Source organism: Homo sapiens, chromosome 13, assembly GCF_000001405.40.
Source record: "Homo sapiens chromosome 13, GRCh38.p14 Primary Assembly".
NCBI classification, from domain to species: Eukaryota; Metazoa; Chordata; class Mammalia; order Primates; family Hominidae; genus Homo; species Homo sapiens.
This window is the reverse complement of record NC_000013.11, coordinates 105,633,047-105,657,578: the sequence shown is the minus strand read 5'-3', so window position 1 is coordinate 105,657,578 and position 24,532 is coordinate 105,633,047. Positions and strand designations below refer to the sequence as shown.

General features: G+C 34.7%; 1 long non-coding RNA gene across 2 annotated transcripts in view; it reads left to right on the top strand.

Annotated features, from left to right (window-relative positions):
- Positions 1-24,532, top strand: part of LOC105370345 (uncharacterized) — a 134,781-nt gene that overhangs the window by 49,278 nt on the left and 60,971 nt on the right. Inside the window, exons 6-7 of one of the 2 annotated variants that reach the window (XR_007063935.1) lie at positions 15,487-15,633; positions 16,326-16,693. The exons of the other annotated variant lie outside the window; for it this stretch is intronic. This is a non-coding gene — a long non-coding RNA (uncharacterized LOC105370345). Of the gene's footprint in view, positions 1-15,486; positions 15,634-16,325; positions 16,694-24,532 lie in introns of those variants that run through there. 2 annotated transcript variants of the gene reach the window in all.

Genomic DNA, 24,532 nt, shown 5'->3' with positions numbered 1-24,532 from the left:
CCTCCTCATTTTGGAAAGTGTTCAGGACTTTTAGGTGCAGTTCTGGACACCTCACATGTCTGAACATATCCAGTGGTCTTTCTTAAAGATTATAAGGACTTAGCAGCAAATTAGTCTGTTTTTCACATGATCGGAGATGGCTGAGGCTTAAGAATGCTGCACAGCATCCTGAGGTGATTATTAGTACTCAGAAGGCCTCCCCACCTCTCTTGCACCTGTGATCCTCATCTTGCCCTTTTCCAAATATCGAGCAGCCACCATAATATGTGTGTGTGTGATTAATCAATTATTACTAAAGGATCAGTAATCCTTAACCTCTGAGATTCTCACTGGATATTAAGGATCTTAAAAATAGGAGAATAATCAATTTAAACCTTTAAGCTGTTTTGCTTCTGATACTATTCCATGTCTTAGCATTCAATGTATTTTTATTGGTGGACCATATGACAAAGTGAAAAGGAGGAGGGTTTTGGAAAAAGAGATACAGAAGTTCACATTTTAGCTACCCGATAACTGTAAAAACAAGGGCAATTCTGTATTGGGCTTACATTTATCTTTTCAGTGGATCTATTTAATTGAAATAGAAATAAAACACATATCAATAATTGCACCAAGATACTGAAGGTAGTTTTTATTGAAAACTTGATCACTAAGGAATTGACAGAATTGAGAAGTGAGAAAATTTCAAAGATACACATGCCTGAAAGCAGAAATCATATCTTATATGTCAAACATGAAAATCAAAGTCAGCTGCTTGAAATGTGGGCCTAATAAATCTTGAATCTCTGCAACTGTAGGGAATAGTTATTGTTTTCTAATCTAGCACACATTTTAGTAAACTTTTCTGTCCTTAATGTTAAACTTCATATTTCCTACACATCTTTTTTAATGTTAATTATTTTAATATGCATGCATATATTTACCACTTATTACATGGGAAGAAACAATTCTTAAGTCTGAGAAGGTTGGTAATCATTTACATTTCTGACACAAAACTGAAGGCATGGTTGAGAATTAGAATAATTAAAATAGCACTGGGGGACAACCTGAAAACTGTGACTCCATTCTGATAGAAGGAGTCATTGTCCTTGAACAATTTGCAAATATGTTCCCTTCTTTTCCCAAATATGTTCCCTTCTTTTCCCATAACAGGCTTCCATGCTTTATGCAACTAATGCGTTATGAATTGCAGCTCTGTTTCTTACAGAGAAGTGAATTTACAAAAGACATACCTTTCACATCATGTTCACCTTTTTCACCTCAATGACACCCTGCTCCCTTCTCTTACCTTCCCTGACACCACACAGTTCACCATCAGCTCTTCCTCCTTCTCAACACCCTAACTTCTAACCTGCAACTGAAGCTCACAGTTGTGCTTAGTATCTGCGTGACAGTTCCCTTCACTTGACAAGTTTTAAAAGTCAACTTTCTTTGTCTTACAGTTTATTGTCTTCAGTCTTTTATTTCCCTTACCTTTTAATAAAAGGATTCAGTATTCCATTTCTATTAATCTTTTATTAAAGTTTATTAGAAATAGAATGCTGAATAGAAAATAGGAAGTTTAGCTGTAGTTAAGATTGTGATTATTCATTATACTGATATTTTTCTTATATTGTTTTTGAACTGATTTATGGGTAGTTAGCTCCAAAACTGAAGGAATACTATGATATTTTCAACACTATTACCAGCACTATGTCAGGTATTAAGTTTAATCCATGAGCAGAGTGCAATTTCAAGATCATGAATTTTCACAAACTTCAATGTTACTACTGTGTTTATGCTGAATAAATGGTTTCTTTGGCACCTCTTTCACACACACACACGCACACATCTATACATGGTAACATAGGCTAAAGCAATTAGAGAAGTTCAGGTATTTCAATGACTGAATCACAAAAATATGTTATTGATCTCATTTGTTAATCAATGAATGGTTAATAAGAAGATTAAGAAGACAAATTACAAGGTCACAGCCCATTCAGCTGAAGCATGTTGTTATGGCCAGAGGCTCATGAGAGGAAAAGGTGTGGCTAAGAACAGAAGATCCGTTAAGCTCCAAGCCTGTTCAATTATTTAAGTCACTGAGACAAAGTAGATGTGGAGTGTGAGACGCCAGTGTAGAGCCTTCAACTGATTTTCCTTGGGGAGGTTGACCTGACTTAATAGTGTGGGAAATCAGGTGAATTTTGGCTGTGACTAGATTTGACCAAGATGGAGTTTTCCATGAAAATGCAAACCAATCTTTAGAATTTGAATTCCATAAAGCAAAAAATTCTTACATAAATGCTTATAATTTTACCACTCTACCACTGTGGGATGCATGCCACGAGATTTTGTGAGTAGTTCTAAAAAGTATGTCTTCTTGGACAACATCCAAAGTAGACCACATGCACACTGAAACAAGCCTTACACAATAGCTTTTCTATATATGTATCTATATCTACATCTATATTTATATCTGTATCTAGCTAAAAGAAAAGCTCCACATACTGATAGAATTATATAAAAGCAAATACTAACGTTTGGGAATTTCGATTATAATACACTTAATTGAAAACAAAACAAAAATATTTTTTAAAGTATTAAGCAAGCATAGAGAGACATTTTGGTGCTTACAAGGATTTCTGGGAATACAAGCAATTATTTTTTGTCAGGGACCATATATTTAGGTACAGATCATTAACAATGCTTTCTTTAATATTTATTTAGTGAATTGTACATGTTAACTCTAAGGGCAATTAAAACCCATAATTATAATATGAGAAACTTTTTCTCCACTTAGTATTTTTTATTATAAATATGGCTAGCATTGAATCATTGGCTATAACCATGTAATTTTAATGCTTGGGAAACATCTGTTAGAAAAACTTTCCCTATAGAAGACATTTATCAATGTCCTGCCTTATCTCTGGTTATCTTTGGTTTATTACATTTTATGATAACCATAAAACTGAAACCATCCTCATTTACATTTTTCCTCTTCTAAATTTGGGGAAATTATATTTTAAGTGTTTATCATTATCTCATTATATAATCTACAGAAATAATAAACAGCAGCATACCTGATTTTAAAATGAGACTTTTGAATTTCTACAATAAATAGAATATAACGAACTCTGCTTCTTTGGGTATATCACGTCAAATATACATTAATGAGCAGATAGCTTTAACATGTTTATCATGTTATAATCTGATTGTTGTCTTTACTAATCAAGATACCTAATTTAACTGAAGTATCAAGTGATCTCAAAACCTCAGTAGCATCTGATAAAGGTTGCTGTCTCACCTGTGCCACATGGCCATTGCCATTTGACTGCTGCTTCACCCACATCACCTGCACTCCCAAACTCAGCCTGGCTGGATATCTTTTTACAAGATACCTGATAATGAAGGAGAGAAGGAACATGGTGAACACTATGCAGTCTCAGAAGATCTGCTTGGAAGAGACATGTTACTTCTGCTGTCATTTCCTTGGCCAGAGCAAGTGAAATGCTGAACCTGATCAGTGGCTTATTGTTTGAACAGTAATACAACCTACTGTTCTATCATAGAATGATATTGGAGTCATATATTTCAATTAGCCATTATCAATGTCTCTCATAATTTTCTTTACACATTTTCTCAGAATCTAGAGTAAAATTTAAAAAAGGAAAGACAGATAAATGCTCTCATCTCCAAATTCAGTGTCCTAAATTCCACTTACTTTAATCAGTATAAAAATCAGGTAGCTCAGATTTTAATGGACTAGTCACTTTTGTCTCTTTTTTTTTGCTATCAGCGTTTATATTGATTATTTGGAAGAAAAAAGAGCCCCCTCAACCTTCCAGAGCGGACACACACACGTACACACACACATCGGCAACATTAGAGAGGTTGACCTGAAAGTGTTTTAAAAACTATGACACAGTTAAACTATGATTTCAAAGTTTTTCCAAGCAAGTTATATGTCAGAATATGAGTAGGGGAAAACTATTGAACTGCCACAATTCTGCTGGTGGTTTCATTGGCAATTCCAATTATGTTCTGATCATAGTGTCATCAGAGCAATTAGTTCATCCCAAACTTGTTTTGTAGTGCCACTCCACAGGGAAAATAGTAAATCTGTCCTACTGACTGCAGTTCTCTAAAATGTCCTTAAAGTTTAGTTATTTCAATCTTAGTGGAAGAAATATGTTGTTGGTAGTGGTCATCCTTGCTAGTACTCTTTAATCATTACCTGCCAGGAAACACTTTTTATTTACCAGTGCATGAGAGTTTAGGTGAGAATTATTCTACTACCGAAAGCTCAAGATGTATTTGTGCTATAGTTATAAATATAGATTTTTTTTTTGTAATTCTAACTTTTCAGGTACTTTTCTCTTTAGCTGTTTTATTTTAGTATATGTATTTTTTCCATTTTTTATGGAATTGTAAGGCATATTTGGTGGTTCTAGTTTACAACTATAACATCATTTCCAGAGTCATCAATTCCTTTGTCAGGACATGACATTATGTTTTTCCATTTTTTAGACTTCCTAAAATGTCTTGATAACCAAAACACAGAGGGTTATCATTATACAGTTATGTATGATACGGTTTCCTCTATATAATGTGTCACATAGAGTATTTTATTTCCAGCCAAAGATCATTATTTTTTAAAGAAACTCAGGAACAAGAAATAAGGATGCACTCACACAAATAGACAGTAGTGAATTCAGAATGCATAGCAGAGTGTGCAAAGTAAAGCAAATGCATCCATGCCCAATTACCTAATTTGTAATTGCAGCTATTCATTGCACTTGATTCTTTCCTTCAACTCCTTCCTCTCCTTCCCTCCCCGGAGCTCCTCCTTCCCAGCGTTTGTATGGCAGCTTCGTAATAAACCCAGAACACTTAGCAATTTCTGCTCCGATTTGCTCTAGCTTCAAAGGTCTATGGTCATGATTACATGCAATAACGATACATTCAATGTGAAACTACAATCTGTGTAACTTTGTATTTCTCTTTGAAGGTTTAGATACGATTGACTGTGTCAACCATAAGCAGAATAATAATTCCTGTGCTCAGAGACAAGTCAGAGAGAGAGAGAGAGAGATTGACAAACAAACAAACAAACAAACAAACAAAAAACAGATTTTAAGAACTGAGCCCTAATTCATTTTTTTTTCTTTTTTATTGTGGCAAAATACACATGACATTTACTATCTTAACCATTTTTAAATGAACAGTTTAGTGATATTAAATACATATATTACATTGTGTAGACATCACCATCCTCCATCTTCAGGGTTCTTTCCACCTTTCAAAACTGAAATTCTACCCATTAAACAATTCCTCATTCCCCCCCTTCCCCCAGCTCGGCTGCTGGCAAACAGTTCTACTTATTGTCTGTATGATTTTGATCACTGTAAGTACCTCATAGAAGTGTAATCATACAGAATTTACCTTTTTGTGATGGGCTTATTTCACTTAGCATCCTAAAGGTTTGTCCATGTTGTAGTCTATGTCAGACTTGGCTTCCCTTTTAAGGCTGAATGATATTCCATTGTATATATAAATCACATTATATATGTTATATTCTAAGCATTTTATATTTTTAGGCCTTACATTTGGGTCTTTGATTCATATTCAGTTAATTTTTATATGGAGGTTCATATAAGGTTCAACTTCATTCCGTTGCATGTGGAGATTCAGTTTTCTCAGCATCTGTTGTTAAAAATAGTGTCTTTTTCCCATTAAATGATCTTGCCACCCTTGTCAAAAATAATTTGGCCATGTAAGTATTTTATTCTATTGGCCAACATGTTTGTTTTACGCCAGCTGATATAACCATATGTAATTATTCACTTATTAGTTCTGAATTCATTTATTAGTTTCATATGGGATTTTTTGGTGGAATCATAAGAGTTGTCTACATATATGATTATATCATCTATGGACAGAGATAAGTTTACTTCTTCCTTTATTCCAACATATGTTCTCTCTTTTTCTTGCCTAATTGCTCTAGCTAGGATTTCCAGTACTACGTTAAATAGAAGTGAGGAAAGCAGACACCCTTGCTTTGTTCCTGATCTGACAGGAAAAACTTTTTAAAAAATTGTGATGAGGTAGTTTCCTTCTATCCTAGTATACTGAGTATTGTTTTAATTATGAAAGGTTATTGAATTTTCTCAAGTGCTTTTACTGCATCAATAAAAGATGATTACATGTCTTTTTTCTTCATTAGTGTGGTGTATTCCATTGTTAATGTGGTATATTCCACTGTTTAATTTTTGTGTGTTGAACCATCTTTGTATTCCAGGCATAAATCCTACTTTGATTTTCGTATGTTGAACCATCTTTGTATTCCAGGCATAAATCCTACTTAGAAATGGTGTATAATTCCTTTAATATGTTGCAAAATTCAGTTTGCTAGTACTTTTTTGAAGATTGTTCCCATTAATGTTCATACGGAATATTGATCTTTAGTTTTCTATTTTTTGTGATGTCTTTGTCTGACTTGGGTATCAAGGTAGTTCTGGCCTCATAGAATGTGTTAGGAAGTGTTCCCTCTTCTTTGATATTTTGGAAATTATTGAAAATTGGGGTGAGCCCTTCTTTAAATGTTTGGTAGAATTCAGCAAAAAAGCCATCAGGCCAAGGACTTTTGTTTGTCAGGATATTTTTGATTAGTAATCTATCTCCTGACTCTTAAAATGTCTATTACAATTTTCTATTTGTTTGTGGTTTAGATTTAGTAGGCTTTGCGTTTCTAGAAATTTGTCCACTTCATCCAGGTTATTCAATTTGTTGGCATATCATTACTTTCGTAATACTCTCTGCTGATCTTTGTATTTATGTAGACTTGGAAGTAATGTTCCTATGTTCCTTTTTTTTTTTTTTATTTTGGTAACTTGAGTCTTTCTTCTTTCTTTCTAGCTAAAGGTTTTCTAAATTTGTTACTATTTTGAAGAACCAACTTTTGGTTTCATTTATTTTCCCTATTATTTTACATTCTCTATTTTATCTCAGCTGTAATATTTATTATTTCATTTTTTTTGCTAGTTTCGGGTTCAGTATATTCTTATTTTTTTAGTTCCTTAAGTTGTAAAGTTAGGTTGATGATTTAAGATCTTTCTTGTTTTTTGTAATGTATGCATCTAAATTTTCTAACAGTGCTTTCATTATGTCCCATATGTTTTGACATATTGTTTGTTCATTTTCGTTTATCTCCAAGTATTTTCTAATTTCTCATGTAATTTATTATTTGATCCATTGGTAAGAGTATGTTGTTTAATTTCCACAAATTTGTAAAAGTTCTCGTTTTTCTTCTGTTACTGATTTCTTACTTTATCCCATTTTGATCAGAAAAATGTTTTGTATGATATTTTTTACCGTAAGTTTTTTGAGACTTAATTTGTGACCTAATATATGTTCTATCCAGGAAAATGTTCCATGTGTACTTAAAATAATGTGTATGCCATAGAAACTGGGTAGAGTGTTCCGTATCTGTCCATTAGACCTAGTCGGTGTATTGTGCCATTCAAGTTCTCTGTTGCCTTACTTATATTCTGTCTCATTGTTCTATTCCTTATTGAGAGTGGGGTATGATAACTACAACAATTATTATAGAACTGTATGTTTCTGTTTTCAATTCTGTCACTTTTTGCTTCATATATTTTATGGTCTGTTATTAGATGCATAAATATTTATAATTTTTATATCTTCTTGCTACATTAAACCTTTTAATAATATATAATGTCCTTCTTGTATGTTTTAAAATCTACTTTGTCTGATATTAGTATAGCCACTCTTGCTCTTCTTCACTTACTATTTGGACAAAATATATTTTTTCATCCTTTAACTTTCAGTGTATCTGTGTCTTTGGGTCTAAAGTGAGTCTATTGTAGACTGGGCCTACATCATTTTTTAAAATCCATTTTACTAACCTCTGTCTTCTGATTGGAGAGCTTAATCCATTTACACTTAAAATCATTGCTGATAAGCAAGCAATTTTGCTATTTGTTTTTTATATGCCTTATAGCTTTCTCATACCTCATTTTCTACATTTCTGTGTTTTGTGTTTAGTTCATCTAGTTGATTTTTCAGTTAAATATTAAAAGTCTTTTTTTCTGCTATTTTCTTTCTTCTATATTCTTTGTTGTTACCATGGTGATTATATTCAACATGCTAAAGTTATAACATTCTAATTTGAATTTGTGCCAACTTAATTTTAATAATACACTCAAATATTTTTTACAGCTCTGTCCCCACCTCTTTCAGCTGTTCATGCTATAAAATTATATCTTATACATTTCATGTTCGAAAACATAAACTAATAATTCTTTGATGCATTCATCTCTCAAATTATGTAGAAAACAAAATGTGGAATTGCAAACCAAAATTACAATACCAACTTTTAGCATAATAATTATCTTAATGTTTTAGTGTCTTAAATGAAGTAGAAAACAAAATGAAGTTATACAGCGTGTTACAATAATACTAGCTTTTAAAATTGCCTATTTTTAATTCAGATTTAATTTTTGTATAGCTTTTAGTTATTGTCTAGGGTCCTTTAATTTCATCCCAAATAACTCCCCTGAGCATTTCTTGCAGGGAAGGTCTAGAGGTAATAAACTCCCCCAGCTTTTGTTTACCTGGAATGCCTTAATTTCTCCCTCATTTTAGATAACAGTTTTGCTGAATCTAGTATTGTTGGTTGACAGTATTTTACACTTAGTATTTTGTATGCCTTCTGATTTTCACTTGAAAACTGAGCATTTGAATCTAATAATATGTTAACTCTGATAACCGGATTCTCTTTCTTTCTGAGGGTTTGCTGTTTTGTTCTTGACTTTTTTTTATTGTTGCAGCTGTCTCTGTGCCAAGTATTAGCATGAGGTGTAAACTTATTCTCTCCTCAGGTTTTTTTCTGAACTTGTATCTTCCCACTGTGTCTACATGGTGACTTCCTAATTTCACCCATATATACAGTTGCTTGTGAATGTCTTTATCTTCAATGTCAGCCGTCCAAAAGAGTAAAAAGAGAAAAACAAAGGGAGAAAAAATGAGGCACCACCCTCTTTACATTCCCTGGGAACCACCTCAGCCAGGGGAGAGGGGCTGACAATAATTGAGGAGGAGCATAACAATGGCCACTGTTTCTTTGTCTGCACCTCTGGGATCAGAAGCAGTGATCAGTGATCAGAGCACGGGTCTCTGTTATCTGGCAGGCAGGGTTGTTTGTTGCCCACCCTAGTTTCTGCAAGCTGTGTGGTAGCTGCTCCAGGCACCGCTGCCTGCCACAGAGTTGAGAGGTGGGGAATGAATAGGTGCTATTGTGCTAATAGCTAAAATTGACCACAATTAACCACAACTGACAGTCTAAGCCATCTCCTGGGAGTTTGAAGTGCAAGTCTTTCCCTGGAACTTAATTTCAATAGTTTCCAGAATTCCAAAATAGTAACATCAGACAGATTCTGTCAGGGCATTATTTTTTTCTATGTAGGGATACATATTTCTAGTGCTACCTACTCCACCATCTTTCTAGAATATTCTCCTCCCCAATAATTTATATCATCATTTCTGGGGTTGTAAGTCAACAATCTGTATTTTAACAATTTCTCTAGGTGTCTCTTTGCCTGCTTTAAGTTTTCAATCCAGTTAGCCCTCTCTATCCTCAATATAAAACAAAAGCACCATGAAAACATTTGGCTCTAAGTGTGGTTGCCATTTAATTTATGTTCCAAACCAGAAAAAAAAAATTGAGAGTAAAAGAACGTGCTATTAATAATTCATCTGTAATAATATATATGAACCTGGACTGTCTGAAACAGTTTTTTGAGAGACACTTAGAAAAAATTATGCTTTGGAAATTTTTTATGGGGTGTCATTAATTTGTTTTTGTCCAATTTTTGCAACAAAATTTTGACTTCTATAGTGAGGTGACATTCATAAATCTGAGTATTCATATCTAAAAACCCAAAAGCATTTTTTTCTAAGGATGTCATGTAGATCATATAAAATAACTATAGAAATATTGAATCCATAATATGTCATATGAGTTGCAGCCATTTTAATATTTTGTCCATTTTTATATATTCTATGCATATAATATATGGTAGTTTTCTGATAGTAATTTCCAATTCCTCTCCCAAAATGGACTGGACAGATTTCTTAGTGAGGGAAGACTGTTTTTATATCATTCAAATTTTATCAGTCCTTTTCTGTGGGTCCCCTGCTGTTCTTATTCCATAGCATCTTATGTAGGATTGATCTCTTCCTTGTGTTAGAGTCAATATTATTATTTTCAGAAGTCTTGGTTTTTCCATTGGCAAATGTTCAAATAAAACTTTATAACCAAATCTTTATAATGCTGTTGCCAACTTTGTGTCTTTAAATAAAGTCCAATTGCCATAGGGCAATTGTGCAGTGGGATGGATATGTGAATCTGTGTGAAAAATGATATTTTAAATGCTTTGTGGGGAAGAGTAACCAGTCTGGATTGAATTGAATGCTAAATTGGCTTTACATTTGGAAAAAATTTAGATGTTATAGTAGTTCTTATATAAGAACATTAAACATCTCACTCTAAATGAAGTACCTCAGGTGATACTGTGATAGCTATAATTGTTTATGACGGAAATATTCACTCTTAGAAGACTTGGGTATTGACAAGAACTTGGAAAAGGATCAAGCAGCAACATATATGAAACTGTGCTTCAGCAGGGGAAATACAGTTATGTTCCTGGGTCACTGGACTCTTGTTATGGACTGAACAATCCAAGCTATATAAAGAGACATAATAACTATGATCAGAACTTTGTGAAATATGACCGTTCTATTTGAATTCAGGTTCTAAGCAGTATTCCCCAAAGAGATCTGATATTGAATCAATGTTGTAGCTACCAGCCTTGAAGTTACCTGAACTTTGGTATTCTATTATTCCCTTAGCTTGTAGAAATACCCCAAATGTATTTTCCCTAGTAGATGAACTATAATCTTTCTTATTCATAGTCTATGATTGGTGCATCTTCTCTAGCTCCCTTTTTTAGATGTGCTGAGGAAGTCCGCTGTGGTCCTAAAGCTGCACCTGTGTGGCTGTTGTCTAATGTCCCGTTTTGGTGCTCAATGTCATGAGTACTAAGATGATTCTGAGTAAGAGTCCTAATTAATGCCACCAAAATTTGGCGAACCCTTGTCTTTTGGGGAAGAGGGGCAGAATTCTTCACGATATGCCTCAAACCTGGCTTCTTCACTTCTGTGTACGAGATAATTTCAAACTGCTTTTCTCACTTTTAAATTTTATTCATAGATGTAAAATTTTGGCATTTTGGCTAATTTAATTTCAAATTTGTATTTGCTTGTTCCTGCTTTGATGCGCTACTTATGTTGTGTTTGAAACATAGTAGAAAAGAGGCTGCGTCGGACAAGTATGAGAAGACATGCTTACAGTCACATAAAAGGAGAATAAAAATATGTGTGTGACTGTAGACCGTACCTCCATGAACATTACAAATTTCTGACTGCCATCTAGAACACGTGCTTTATCAACATGATATCAATGATGTGGATATTTTACTTACTTTCTATTTTGTTATACATGTTTGGTTTAGATGTGACCTTTGACCATTTCTGTATAATTTTAATAAAATAGATTTAACTACACAAAAATCACCCTAAAAGTAATTTTCCATGATGCATTTTAAAGGTCATGTTTTCCCTGATGACAGCATGTTTTTGTAGTTAGACCTTGGGAAAGACAACAAGGAGATCTGAGAGCTAATGCAAAATTATCTTTACTAGCTGGATCTCCTTGGACTGGTCATTTATCCTCTGAATCCTAATTTGCCCCTTAGCACTCACAAATGTCATCTCCCCAAAGCCATAGCTGAGCAGAAAGTGGAGCTTAGCATTTTTTATTCTGATAGAAGAGACTGTGTCCATGCAATTATGACAGTAAAAATAAATGAGCATAGCTTCAAACATTTCTTTAATAGAAACTTAGCCTTTGGGTTTAAGGTTATATAAAGTGAAAGGAATTTGGGTAATTAATATGAAGTCAAACATTAAAAGATTCCTCAAGTAATCCAAAGGTATCAAATGTTCAATGACATAAAATACCTCTCTAGTCCTTATGATGAGAAGAGAAGGTCCTGATGAGTGGCTAAGTAGTGATGAAAGTCTAAGGCTAAATTTCTATGAAGAAATATTGTAATAAAATTTTTGAAAGATACTCAGAGATATTTCTTGAGATCATTATCATGTATTCTGTACACAAATGTATTCTTTCCATTTTATTTTCAGTGATTTTCCATGTACAGCTATAACTTTAGAAAGGCTGATTGTTATTCTTTGGCTTTTCTCCCTCAATTAAATCATGTTTTTTTGGTGGAAAGAGAGATTTAAAATAAAATGGAAGCAAGTGGTATTAATTCAGAGTTACTAAAACTGAAAATTAGGGAAATGTAGAAAATATAAACTAATATCAAGCTAATTCTTTTCTGTATCAGTGTTAGACCTTTTATGGGTGAATGAGGTTAAATGTGTGTTAGTATAAAGGATGTAAAGGAGTAAGCAAAGACACTAAGACCAGAGCATGACTTTATATCTATATCAGCTTGAGTCTATTTATAGTAGAATCACTAGAAAGTGGTGACCACACAGAGTTGCATTTTTTTCTTTTGATATGCATACATTTTCCCTGAAAGAAAAAAGGAAGGAAGGAAGGAAGGAAGGAAGGAAGGAAGGAAGGAAGGAAGGAAGGAAAGATGGAAGGAAGGAAGGAAGGAAGGAATGAAGGAAGGAAGGAAGGAAGGAAAGAAGGAAGGAAAGAGGAAGGAAGAATATTTTTTAAAAGAAACTCTTTGATGATTCAACATCATGGAGAAGTTATTATTATATTGAGCTTGACCTGGATCTGTAACTCTTGACATTTAGCTCTTGAAAATACATCTGTTTTCTTGGCTGATAGTCTTAAAAGACAGAATCCAACATAATAAGCCTGCACATGTATCCCCATATCTAAAATGAATGTTGAAATTATAAAATAAAATACAATATATGTTCACAAATATTAAAAAAATGTGCAGAGATATGGGAATACATATGTGTCTTATGTGTGCTTATTTCTATGAAGTCGTTAGATGTCAAAGCTCTTTCTGCATGCATCCTTGCTTAGACGTTTTGTCTGAAATTCTGTTCACATTGACATACGTGCATTAAACTAATATGAGAATGTATGCATTAAACTAGCTTGAATGATGTCCACATTCTCAGTTTTTTCATCATAACTTTTTCTTTCCAGAGTGCATGATGCCGCAGAAAAGAAAAGCTAACTGTGAAACTCAAAGAAAGTCTTTGTTAGGGCCTGAGTATTTTTTTTTTAATCTCTATGACTTTCACATTCTTAGCTTCAGTAATCCTTGAAGAGAACAGAGTCAAACCTTGTATTTTAATTAGGATCTTTCAGTGTTTGTGGCCTTGAGGAGCGAGAGCAAGAAAGACATTCTATGGGTGTGCGTGAAAGAGAGGACCAAGGTTGTTTTCTTTGTGACTAGAGATTATATTGTGTAAGAGCAGATGACAACCTTGAGATTCGATTTGTGATATGAAACCAAATGCACTAAAAGGAAAGCGTACCAGTTTGGATTAGATACATTAAATCAGTATGTCATGTAAATCAGTGACTATTAAAAGAGAATATATAGGAGAAAAAGGTATTAGAAGTTGCATTTTTTAACCAATTGCAACGTTTGCAAATGGGCTTGTCACATACCATCATGTAAGTACTAGTGAAGTCTAAGGTATAAGCAAGTATTTTTCATTTTTAAGGATCATTGCAAAGATAGAGAATTTGACAATAAATGAACTGACTGGCCTTCTACAAGTATTTACTTACAACCACAATTGTAATTTTTCCATGGCCAAGCTATGAATTATTAAAAGAATATTGACATTTTGCTATATTTTTAAATTATCTTTAAATCATTTCAAATAGTGAAATAGTATTATACTAATTAAACTTTATTAAGTACATTTTCAAGCTCAGCTAAGTTTTTTAATCAATGTTTATTTCAGTTAGGGGATAGTTTTGTTTTTTTTCTTCTTTGAAATAATATCTTTGAAACCAATGTCCACATTTCTTTACAGATAAAAGAGTTCTGTTTATGAAATAAGAATAAACAGCCTGTAATTTTAATATCACCAAAACTATTTTAATCTCTTTTTGGATATGTACTTCAACTTAAACTACATATATAGCTATAGATATATAGATATGTCTATATCTAGATGTAGACACATCCCCCAAAACCTATAGAAATGTATTTCTCAAATGTGTAAAGTATAGTGAAACTGCCAGACCACAAGCGATGTTTTGTATTTATAGATCTACTTGCAATTTGGGGTGTGCCAAATCCCCACACCTTGTTGTCAATATTAGTTTAACAAAACTAAAAGGAAATTTAAAATATTAAGATCATCCTCTTTAGGATCTACTTGGAGCGCTGAAAAAGGTGTGAAAATACTGATCTCGGACTTCTTGTGAGTTTGATGTGTTTTACATTTGTAATGCTATTCTCTTCACTGCATTCATGCGTGTGCTTGAAGCTTGCTGCCTTGTAGGAGACAATGCAACAACTCTTACCAATGCCACTTTTATAAGATTTTGCCTGCAGTGTGTCAATGTGACTCTTCAGTACGCTACTTAAGGGAGTGCAGGCAAGATGACCTACCCTGAGTCATCCAAAGAATATTTCTCTAGTTCCTGTTGGTCCTGTGAATTCCTAATGTCTTTATAATAAATGGCCACCTAAAAATTAATGTAACTGGGTTGATTGTGTTGCATGACATTAAGTAAACCTAACTGCCGCAACAGGGTGCAGTCTGCATCATAGCAAATACGTTACGGGAGAGAGGGGCACGTCCTCCCTCAGCGCCCACAACAGGGATCATTAACCAAGGCTGACACAATTCTCCAGTGAGAACAGATGTAACCTTGGAATCTTTCTCCACACAGTGCTCCAGGAAGCGATTCGACATGAGTCTGTACTGGCATAGGAAAATAAAACTGGCATGGCTGCCACATAGATCCTATTTTCTTTTGCCTCTTACCAAGAGTTATTTTAAAAATGAAACTATTGTCGGCCAGGCGTGGTGACTCACGCCTGTAATCCCAGCACTTTGAGAGGCCAAGGCAGGCAGATCACGAGGTCAGGAGATCGAGACCATCCTGGCTAACACAGTGAAACCCCGTCTCTAGTAAAAATACAAAAAAATTAGCTGGGCGTGGTGGCGGGCACCTGTAGTCCCAGCTACTTGGGAGGCTGAGGCAGGAGAATGGCGTGAACCTGGGAGGTGGAGGTTGCAATGAGCAGATATCATGCCACTCTATTCCAGCTTGGGCGAAAAAGTGAGACTGTGTCTCAAAAAAAAAAAAAAAAAGAAACTATTGTCAACCAATGAGTGTAAAGGTGTTATTTTTGCTTTTTTTTAAGTTTATGTTTTGAAATCCTCTCTCAATTGCAGGAAAAAAAATAAGATACAGAATATAAAGAGACAGCATAAATGATAGAAAACAAAATAAGCATGTTCATGAGCCAGAAATCAAGAAGAAAAGGCAATGATAAAAAGGGCTGAAGCCGGAGGCATCCCAGGCCCTGGGTCTGGAAGCAGGTACTCACAGTGGCATTCTTGGGCACTCTGGGGCACCGAGGTCTGTAAGTACCACTCATAACGTGACTGGCCAGCAAAATTTACTGCTTAACATAAACAATGTCTTGGCCCCCACCTTGCAAAATAATGCTGAAATAAAAGGTGTTACTGATCATTGTCTGGGACTAAGGTTTAGTGAGGTTTACTTACAGAAAATAAAAAAGCAAACAGTCATACACCCAAGATTGGGCCAAGCTGCCTGTTGGATTTGACATATCCTGCAATCACAGGGAAAAGGTTGGTACTATACTGAGATGTGGCTCAGGATGGGAGACCACAGGGCAGGCAGGAAGGAGGCAAAAGCAATCTAGAAGACCTGTGTGACTAGTGAGAAAAGCAAGAGTAAGAGAAAGGAAGAAAGAGAGAAGATGGATGTCCTCTTGTTAAAATAAATGTACTAAAACAAATAGAACAATATGAAAAGACCCTACATAGGTTAAGTATCTTCCAAAAAAGACACAGCATTCATGTGAGCTTCATATTGCTACTATAGCAAATTGCCACAAACTTAGTAGCTTAACACAACATGCATTCATTACTTTACAGCAGCTTAGACATCCAACATGGGGCCCACTGGGCTCAAATCCAGGTGTTGGCAGAGCTGCTTTTCTTTCTGAGACTCTAGAGAAAAATCGTTTGCTTTGGTTTTTCAGCTCTGGAGGCTGCTGCGTTCCTTGGCTCTTGGCTGCCTCTCCATCTTCAAAGTGCATCACTGCAGCCTGCGCTTCATCCATCACGTTGGCTCTGTCGCTCACATTTCTACTTCTCTCTTGCAAGGACCCTTGGGATTCTATTGGACTCACCTGGATAATCCAAGATAATCTTCATCTTAAAATCCTTAATTTAGTCACACACAGAAAATCACCTCTGTTATGTAAAGTAACATATTTCCATATCCTGGAGGAAGGGGGCATTGATGTGTCTACCACAGCATCCACAAAGGGAACAAAAAATATTGTCCAATAAATGCATATAGAAATAAATTTGTGGATTCAGGAAAAAGTGGAGTCATGGAACAAAAATATTTAATAGATAGAAGAGTTTCCAGACTAGACATCCAGGAAAGAATTCACCCAGGATGCAGCTTAGAGAAAATGCCAAGGAATATGCGAAGGAATTGCATGCATGTACATGCGCGCGCGCGCACACACACACACACACACACACACACACACACACCACATAGAAAAGAACAATTCACAGATAGGAGGGGTAGATTTAGAGACTCCGACATATAACCATGAGGTTTACAATAAAAAGAATAAAGGAGAAACAATACTGAAAAAAGTAAGGAATTTTCCACAATTGAAGAAAAACATGAGCCTTCAGATAGGATGTGCGTGTCTCGTACTGAGAAAAATAAATGAAAATAAATCCGCACAGAGGCACAAAGTAATGAAATTGTAGCACGTCAAAATCCATATTCTCTTTGGGTTTGACAGGAGGAATAAATTCAAGAGATGTATTTTACAATAGGGTGACTACAGTTAATAATATTTATTATACTCTTGAAAGTTGCTGAGTAGATTTTAAATGCTCTTACTATAAAAATGATAAGTATATTAAATAATGCATATATTAATTAGCTTGATGTAGCCATTCTACAGTATATAAGTATTTCAAAACAACGTTTTGTACATGATAAATACATAGTCAAAATAATTTAAGAATTTTTAAATGATAAAAAATACATTTTAAAAATTGGAAGGCCATATTCTTAAAAACTAAACATGAGAAAAGTATTACCAACAAAAAATAACAATTAGGCCTCTCTAGAAACCTAACTCTTAAAAACAGACATTACAGAATACTTTCAAAATGCTTTGGCAAAAACAAAAAACCAAATAACAGGGAAAGAGCTCTGTGAATTAAAAATTTTGCACTCAGATAAAGCATTAATCAAGATGAAATACAAAATGAAGTACATGGTTTCTTACAGCTCAGTTTTCCTATCTGGATTAACTTTAGTTTTGCAATAGTATTTCTTGCAGTAACGTTCTATTATTTGTGTGTCCAAACATGCATATTTATCCAGCAACTAATTCAAGGTATGAGAGGAATGAAGATACTGATGACAGAAATTAGAGCAGGGAATCAGAAGAGAGAAGTGCATGTTCCCTTGCATGGCACTCTTCAGTTGACAAAAGGACATGTGATCCCAAGATTTCTCTTGACTGAGACTACATTTACACAAATTAAGGAGTTGTGTAACATTAAATAACCAAAGTCATAGCCTTAGGAACTTCCATTGCAAAAAAGGAGTTTAACATGGAGCTGTTGTTAAAGGGAGGGTCAGATGGTCGAAAAATTAATTGGCAAACAAGTTGATTGCATAAGCTGGAAGTACTGTTGAAAACTTTGTGGTTCTTTATTAAACGAAAACACTTCGGATATTGGGAAGACAGCAACAGTGAAATTTCCTTGGAATCAGGAATAAGGGCCTTTATATATTCTACTCACTGTCTACATGGTCATGATCTCAAGTTATTGTTTCTCATACATATCAGAGATGTGCTAAAATTTGAAATAGGTTTTCAATCAGGAGCCAATTCTAATCACACATCAGTGGCAACTTGGAGCCTTGAGTTTGGAAAGATTTTCTTTAGTGTGTTAGGTTGTTCTTGTGTTGCTATAAAGCAATATCTGAGACTGGGTAATTTGTAAAAAGAGAGGTTTAATTGGCTCACAGTTCTTCAGGCCGTACAGGTAGCATAGCACCGACATCTGCTCCTGGAGAGTCTTGAAAAAGAAGGCAAAGGGTCAGCAGGTGTCTCACATGGCAGGAGCAGGAGCAAGAGTAGGGAGAAGTGCCACACTTTTAAACAATCAGATCCCTTAAGAACTCACTCACTATTGCAAGGACAGCACCAAGGGGATGATGTTACAACACTCATGAGAAATCTATCACCATGGTCTAATCACCTCCCACCAAGTCTCACCTCCAACATTGGGGATTACATGTCAGTGTGAGACTCAAAGAAGACACATATCTGAACTATATCATGTACAATTCCAAGACAAAGTCTACTAAAGTCTGAGATCAATTAATTGTAGATATCTGTCATTAGGTAACTGAAATAGAAGGAATGGCCACAGAGGTCTTGTAGGTTTGTGGCTTGTGCAGGTGTCTGCTGATAAATGTTTAACAATAGGTTTTCATAGGTGGTCAGGGAAGGCCTTATTTGTAGCATTTGCCAATCTCCCTGATATAAATATTCCAACCATGGATGATTTACTCACAAGATGGAACTGAATTCTGACCACAGCTGTCTCTTGCTAGCTGGTGTGAGTCAGCTCCAGAACCTCAGGAGTCTGGTGGCTTAATGCTGAAACTTAGTATTTAAAGTTGTTGTCTTTTGTTCACCTGTACGGAAGTAAAGTATGGGTGTGAGAAAAGTTTCAGTTAGTTTAGTTAGTATTTATAAGAAAGAGTTTAAAAGAAAAGAATGGAAATGGCTCGTGGGTCGCATAATTGAGACTATGAAGAGTGGTTGAATAAATTGGTGTGTTTTATCCTGGAGAGGAGGGAGCTGGAGAGTGATTTAATAATCTTCATATTTATGGAGGTTTTTTTTTTTTGACAGAAGATGGTTCCCAGTTACTTTCCATCCCTAAGTTTCAAATCAAGATAAATCTAGCCTTAAGTATTCCCCTTTCCTATCCAATAATTATCGCTTTAAAAATATTTTAGAAAAAAATGTACTGTATAAAGAATGCTTTCTTAGATTGGTTATCAGTTGATCCAGTTTCTACACTTTAAATCCTGCTGGCCTTTTACACTATATGTAAGATTAGGCAATAAAGATAGGGAAGGTTCAAGGGAAAACTTCTGAGGCCAAGTAATCCAATAGGAATCCAATAGCAATATGGGAAGGCAGGAACTATTTTACCCAATAACTCTAGCTAGAAATTTCAACAATCACCAACCATTCCTGCTCCCCCACATGTCATTCATCACACTGCTTCATGAATTCTAACTCCAGAAGTCCTCTTGAATTTTTCCCAGCCTGTCCTGTCAAATCGCTGGTCTAGTGCAAGCTACTCTTTATAATATTGCAATCTGTTCTTATTCCACTTTAAATAAACAGAGTAGAGAATTGTTGACCAGATGAATAAAAAGTTGGCCACCAATTTGACATTATCCCCCTAACTAACATTATCTTAAAGTATGCTTCTCAGGAGGGCATTTTAAGTCATTTGAAGTTCTAAATGCAAGACTGAATATCTTCTGCACCTGTTTTCATTGGTTCAATATGAAAGATTATACTATTTCCACCATGTTACCAAATATGATTGGCATTGTGTTAAATGTTCTTAGGTTTAATCACTCTGAATCCTTTGCCTAAAATGTAGATTTTTTTTTTGCTATAAAAAAGACATTAGAGTCTATGCCAAAATTTGCAATTCTTCTATAAAATTATTTTTTGTCTAAATCTTAAAAATAACTTAAAATCACTAAATGTTCAGGGAAATCTCTAGTGAGAAAAATAAAATTTATAGCTCACAGACTAGATTGAACAGACAACCATCTGTTCAACTTAAAACATTTGTCTCAAATAACATAATAACTCACAAATGATGATGGATTAGGTAACTTCATTTCATATTTATTAAATTATTAACCCAACTCTTTTTAAAGCCATCAATTTGCATGAAGCTTATGAGTGAGAGATATACAAAAAAAACTTAATATTTGATGATCTCCTAATATGTGCTAGGTGCTTTATATGTATGACATTTTAACAAATATTTAAGTCAGATACTATCTCTTTTTTCAGATAAAGAAATTGAGACTTAAGGTAAATAATTTACTTACAGTCACAAAAATGAAGTACGCTTATACAATCTGAATCTACTGATGGCTTCAAAATCCTTTTCTACGATGAAATGTAGCTTCATGTAGGGGAGTATAACATGGAAATAAGGCAGGTAGTTTTTCCTTTCCAAATTTTTAGTATAGATGAAGAAAAAGACATTCTCAATTATCAATACTGTTTAAAAACAATGTCTTTGATTTAATATATGGTAAATATTAAATATGTGGTCGTGAAAATAAGTATATTTTTAGAGTTCAAAGGGGAGGAAAATATCCTTTGTAAGCTGGGGCATTTTCAATATTCAATTTTATTTATTTTTTATAATGAAATAGTCAGCACTCCAACCATCCATCTATCCACCAATTCATCCATTTATCTACCTGTCCATCTATTCATCCATCCAAACATCTATGTATCCATCCATTCACACATCCATTATTTCATCCTGCATTCATACATCCATAACTACTCTCTAAGAAAGAAGAAAAATTTATTCAGGCTTCTATGTAGATGGAAGTGTTTTGATACTAAAATGTGGATGTTTGTAATTTTATTATTGCCATTTCCTTTCCAAATGTATGCCAATCATACATTTTTCTAAGACTTATACATTACCTCTGAAATGCTTCCTCTTGGAAATGATGCACGTCACTTCTACTGACATTTTATTGGTCAAAGCACATCACATAGTCATGCCTGAGCCTATCCTCAGGAAGACAAGGCCATTTGACCAGGAAACACAGGAGATCCAGAAATATTGGTGAACACTGGTAACGTCCATCAGGCTGAAAAAATGTGGTATAAATATTAATATTTAAGACACAAAGAGGTATTTACCATGATAAAACATATTTAAGACAAAGGTTTTTACTAAGAGCAAAAACATAAACTTTGTGTTAGTCAGTTCTGTCTACTCTAACAGAATACCATAGACTGGGTGGCTTTAACAGCAGACATTTATTTCTCAGCCAGTTCTGATGGCTGGAAGTCTGAGATCAGGGTGACAGCTTCTGTTGAGGACCATCCTTCTGGCTGCACACTGCTGACTTCTCCTTGTATGCTTAAGTGGCAGATAGCAGCGACTTCCTGGAGTGACAAGGGCTTCAATCCCATTCGCGAGGGCTCCGCCTCATGACCTAATCACCCAAAGTCTCCACCTCCTAATACCAACACCTTGAGGATTAGAATTTCAAAATATGAACTTTGGGGCACACAAATATTTAGTCCATAACAGCCTTGGAGGTAAAATTCTAAGTAGCAGAAATCTTTCATCTCTTCTAAAACTAACACTAGTGGAAAACATAATCTTTCATTCAACGCTTAGAGTCTGTCTTGGAGAGCAGGAACAGATGTATTATATTACATGTGCACACATACACATATACACACAAACATTTGTTTGTATGTGTGTGCTTATGTGGATATCTATATGTCATATATACACTGCATCTAGCACAATAGGTAATTGCTATGTCAGGGCACATTTATTATAGTTTTCTCTCTAACTCATAAGGGAGAGTTTTTTAATCAGCTGGTAATATCATATATTTCAGTTTTTTCTTGCAAATAAGAGTGGAATAGAAAGATTTTCGCTGTTGAGAATTGTGCCCTTAAGTGTTAACAATATTCACAAGTGTTTAAAGAAATAATTAGGTTCATTTCATTCTATCATGCTTGTACTATATTTATAACATGACCTTTGTTCTATTTATATATACAAGTAATATATTCTAATAGGAATTTTTTTGTGAAGAAGAAACACTTGATAATATCCCAATTCCCTAACAGAATTATACAATAGTTCCTCAATGACCTTACCTTGGGAAAAAATTAAATGAAAGACACCTGCATTAGAGATCAATTTCCTGATGCTCAGTTTATATTCATCATGCTAAGCTATCCAAGGACACCTTTCTTGTCCTATCATTTGATGGAAACGATTTCCATGTGTTTTATGATTCAACTCCATTCTGCCTTAGACAATACAGTCACTTCAAACAGTTCAACTCTACAGTTGGCTGGCTGACTTTGCCTTGTAAAAATTGCTTTTTTTTTTTTTGGTTCAGAGTATTCTATATTTTACCTAAGAAGTGGAAAACAAATTTTGGGCAAGAATAGTGGCATACACATTACAGAGTGATTTCACATTTCAATATTATTTACAAATATGACATCAAACATTAGTGGTTTTATTTCATTTTTATATCAGAGGCATTCTAAATATGATGTGACAAAGTTAACTCCGAATTTCCTGGTTTTTGTCAGTTTAACCCAGATCTTTGCTATGCAGTTCTGAACACTGCCATGCTTTCAACTTTTCAACAAGAAACAGGTGGTTAATACACACATGTAACTCTACAACTTGATCTTAGCATTTCATGTAATACTTTGGTAATGCCTAAATATTATGTTTGTAGTTGTCCGGAGCATCTTATTTTCACTTTTTCAATTCTATCAAAGAGTACATTAATAGAAAATTAACCAAAACTGAATAAGAATAAAACCTCACTTCCCTAATTTATCCTCTTATAGAAAAATATTTTCAGTGTTTATATTTATGTGATACCAGCCGCATCTGGGTTCAGTAAGCACGTGTTTCGAGCATACTTTGAGATGCATTGTTCCTTGGCGCACCTCAGTTTGTACTGGAATCATTAATGCATAATCTGAAGTTGTGATTATTGAGATTTTTCACTCAATAATGGGATTCAAATGCTGCCCTGTTTGATCTGCATTAACTGTTTGGAATTCCAGAATATTGACTGGCACTTCAGAAGTCACCAGAGTATTCTGTAGCCTTCAGAGGGTAAATTTCAGTCATGTGGGGATGATTTTTTTGGCAAAGAGCATTTTGCACTCTGAGTCATCACACACATTCTCACAAGTTTTTAAGCCCAGGACAGTCTCCATTCCACCACTTGTAGGTAAACTGGTGATGATTTTAAAGGTAATGTCAGCCTCAGAAACAGTGAAATATGCTGAAGATATGGACACAGGCACGGAGTCTGCGTCATCTTAGTCCCTAACTCTCACCTTAGTGAATTGTTCCAACAATGACATAATGAATTATATTTAACTTTTCCTGCTGCTCATGTTTTGATATTTGTCATCAATCGGAGCTGGTGAGAGTTTTAATAAAGTGCTTAGCATCACCTGAGGGTAAATTTCTATATCCTTTGGATTCCTTGATCCTCCTCTGCACTTTATGTAATGAGTGACCTTTCTATCTAGTTCAAATAGAGAATGTAGAGAAGTAAAGTGCTTCATGCAAGAGGGCATCACGGATGTCAAAATGCAGGGCCAACATGAAAGAAGGGCAGAAAGGTTCCGGACACAAAGGGCAGGGCACTGCCTGGACTGGCTAGTGTCGGGGTTTCAGCCAGAACCTTCCTTTAGAATTTGGAAACTATGGAGAAAACACAGTGATGCAGATCAATATATACCAGTTTTGTTACAGATGTTGAAGAAGGTGGCTCACTACTGTGATCATACATTTGGGCTTCCCAACTTTTTCTCTTGAATTAAACATATTACTAAATTGGCAGGCTTTTTTCCTAACAACTGTGAAATGCTAGTCTTTAGAAATTTTCAGCATCCAGCAGCAAATAACATGCATGTCCAACGGCGAGGATGGCTCCAAAAAAGAGAGAACCCCAAATGAAAATGAGTCAAGCATTCTTTTTTCTTTAAGCAGAGCAAGATCATTCTTATCAGAGGAAATTGTGAGCAGGGTACAAGAAGCTGCACATGCCTAGGAGGTGAGAGTTCTGTCTACTCCAGGGAAAAATGAGAAGTGTTGAACAAGCAGCACTCCCAGAAAATAACACATTGTAGTAGACGCCCGTTACGGTTTCTCCATGTATTAAATTGGTTTATAACATTGTCTTTTTGTTTGTCTCTTTTGAGTTTATAAGTTCCCATCAATATTTTATTTCCTTTACTTATTTTGGGTTTAATTTGTGCTTTTTTCTATCTTTAAGATAAAAGCAGAGATGATAACTGATTTTAGACTTTGCTTATTTTCTAATATAGGCATTTAAAGA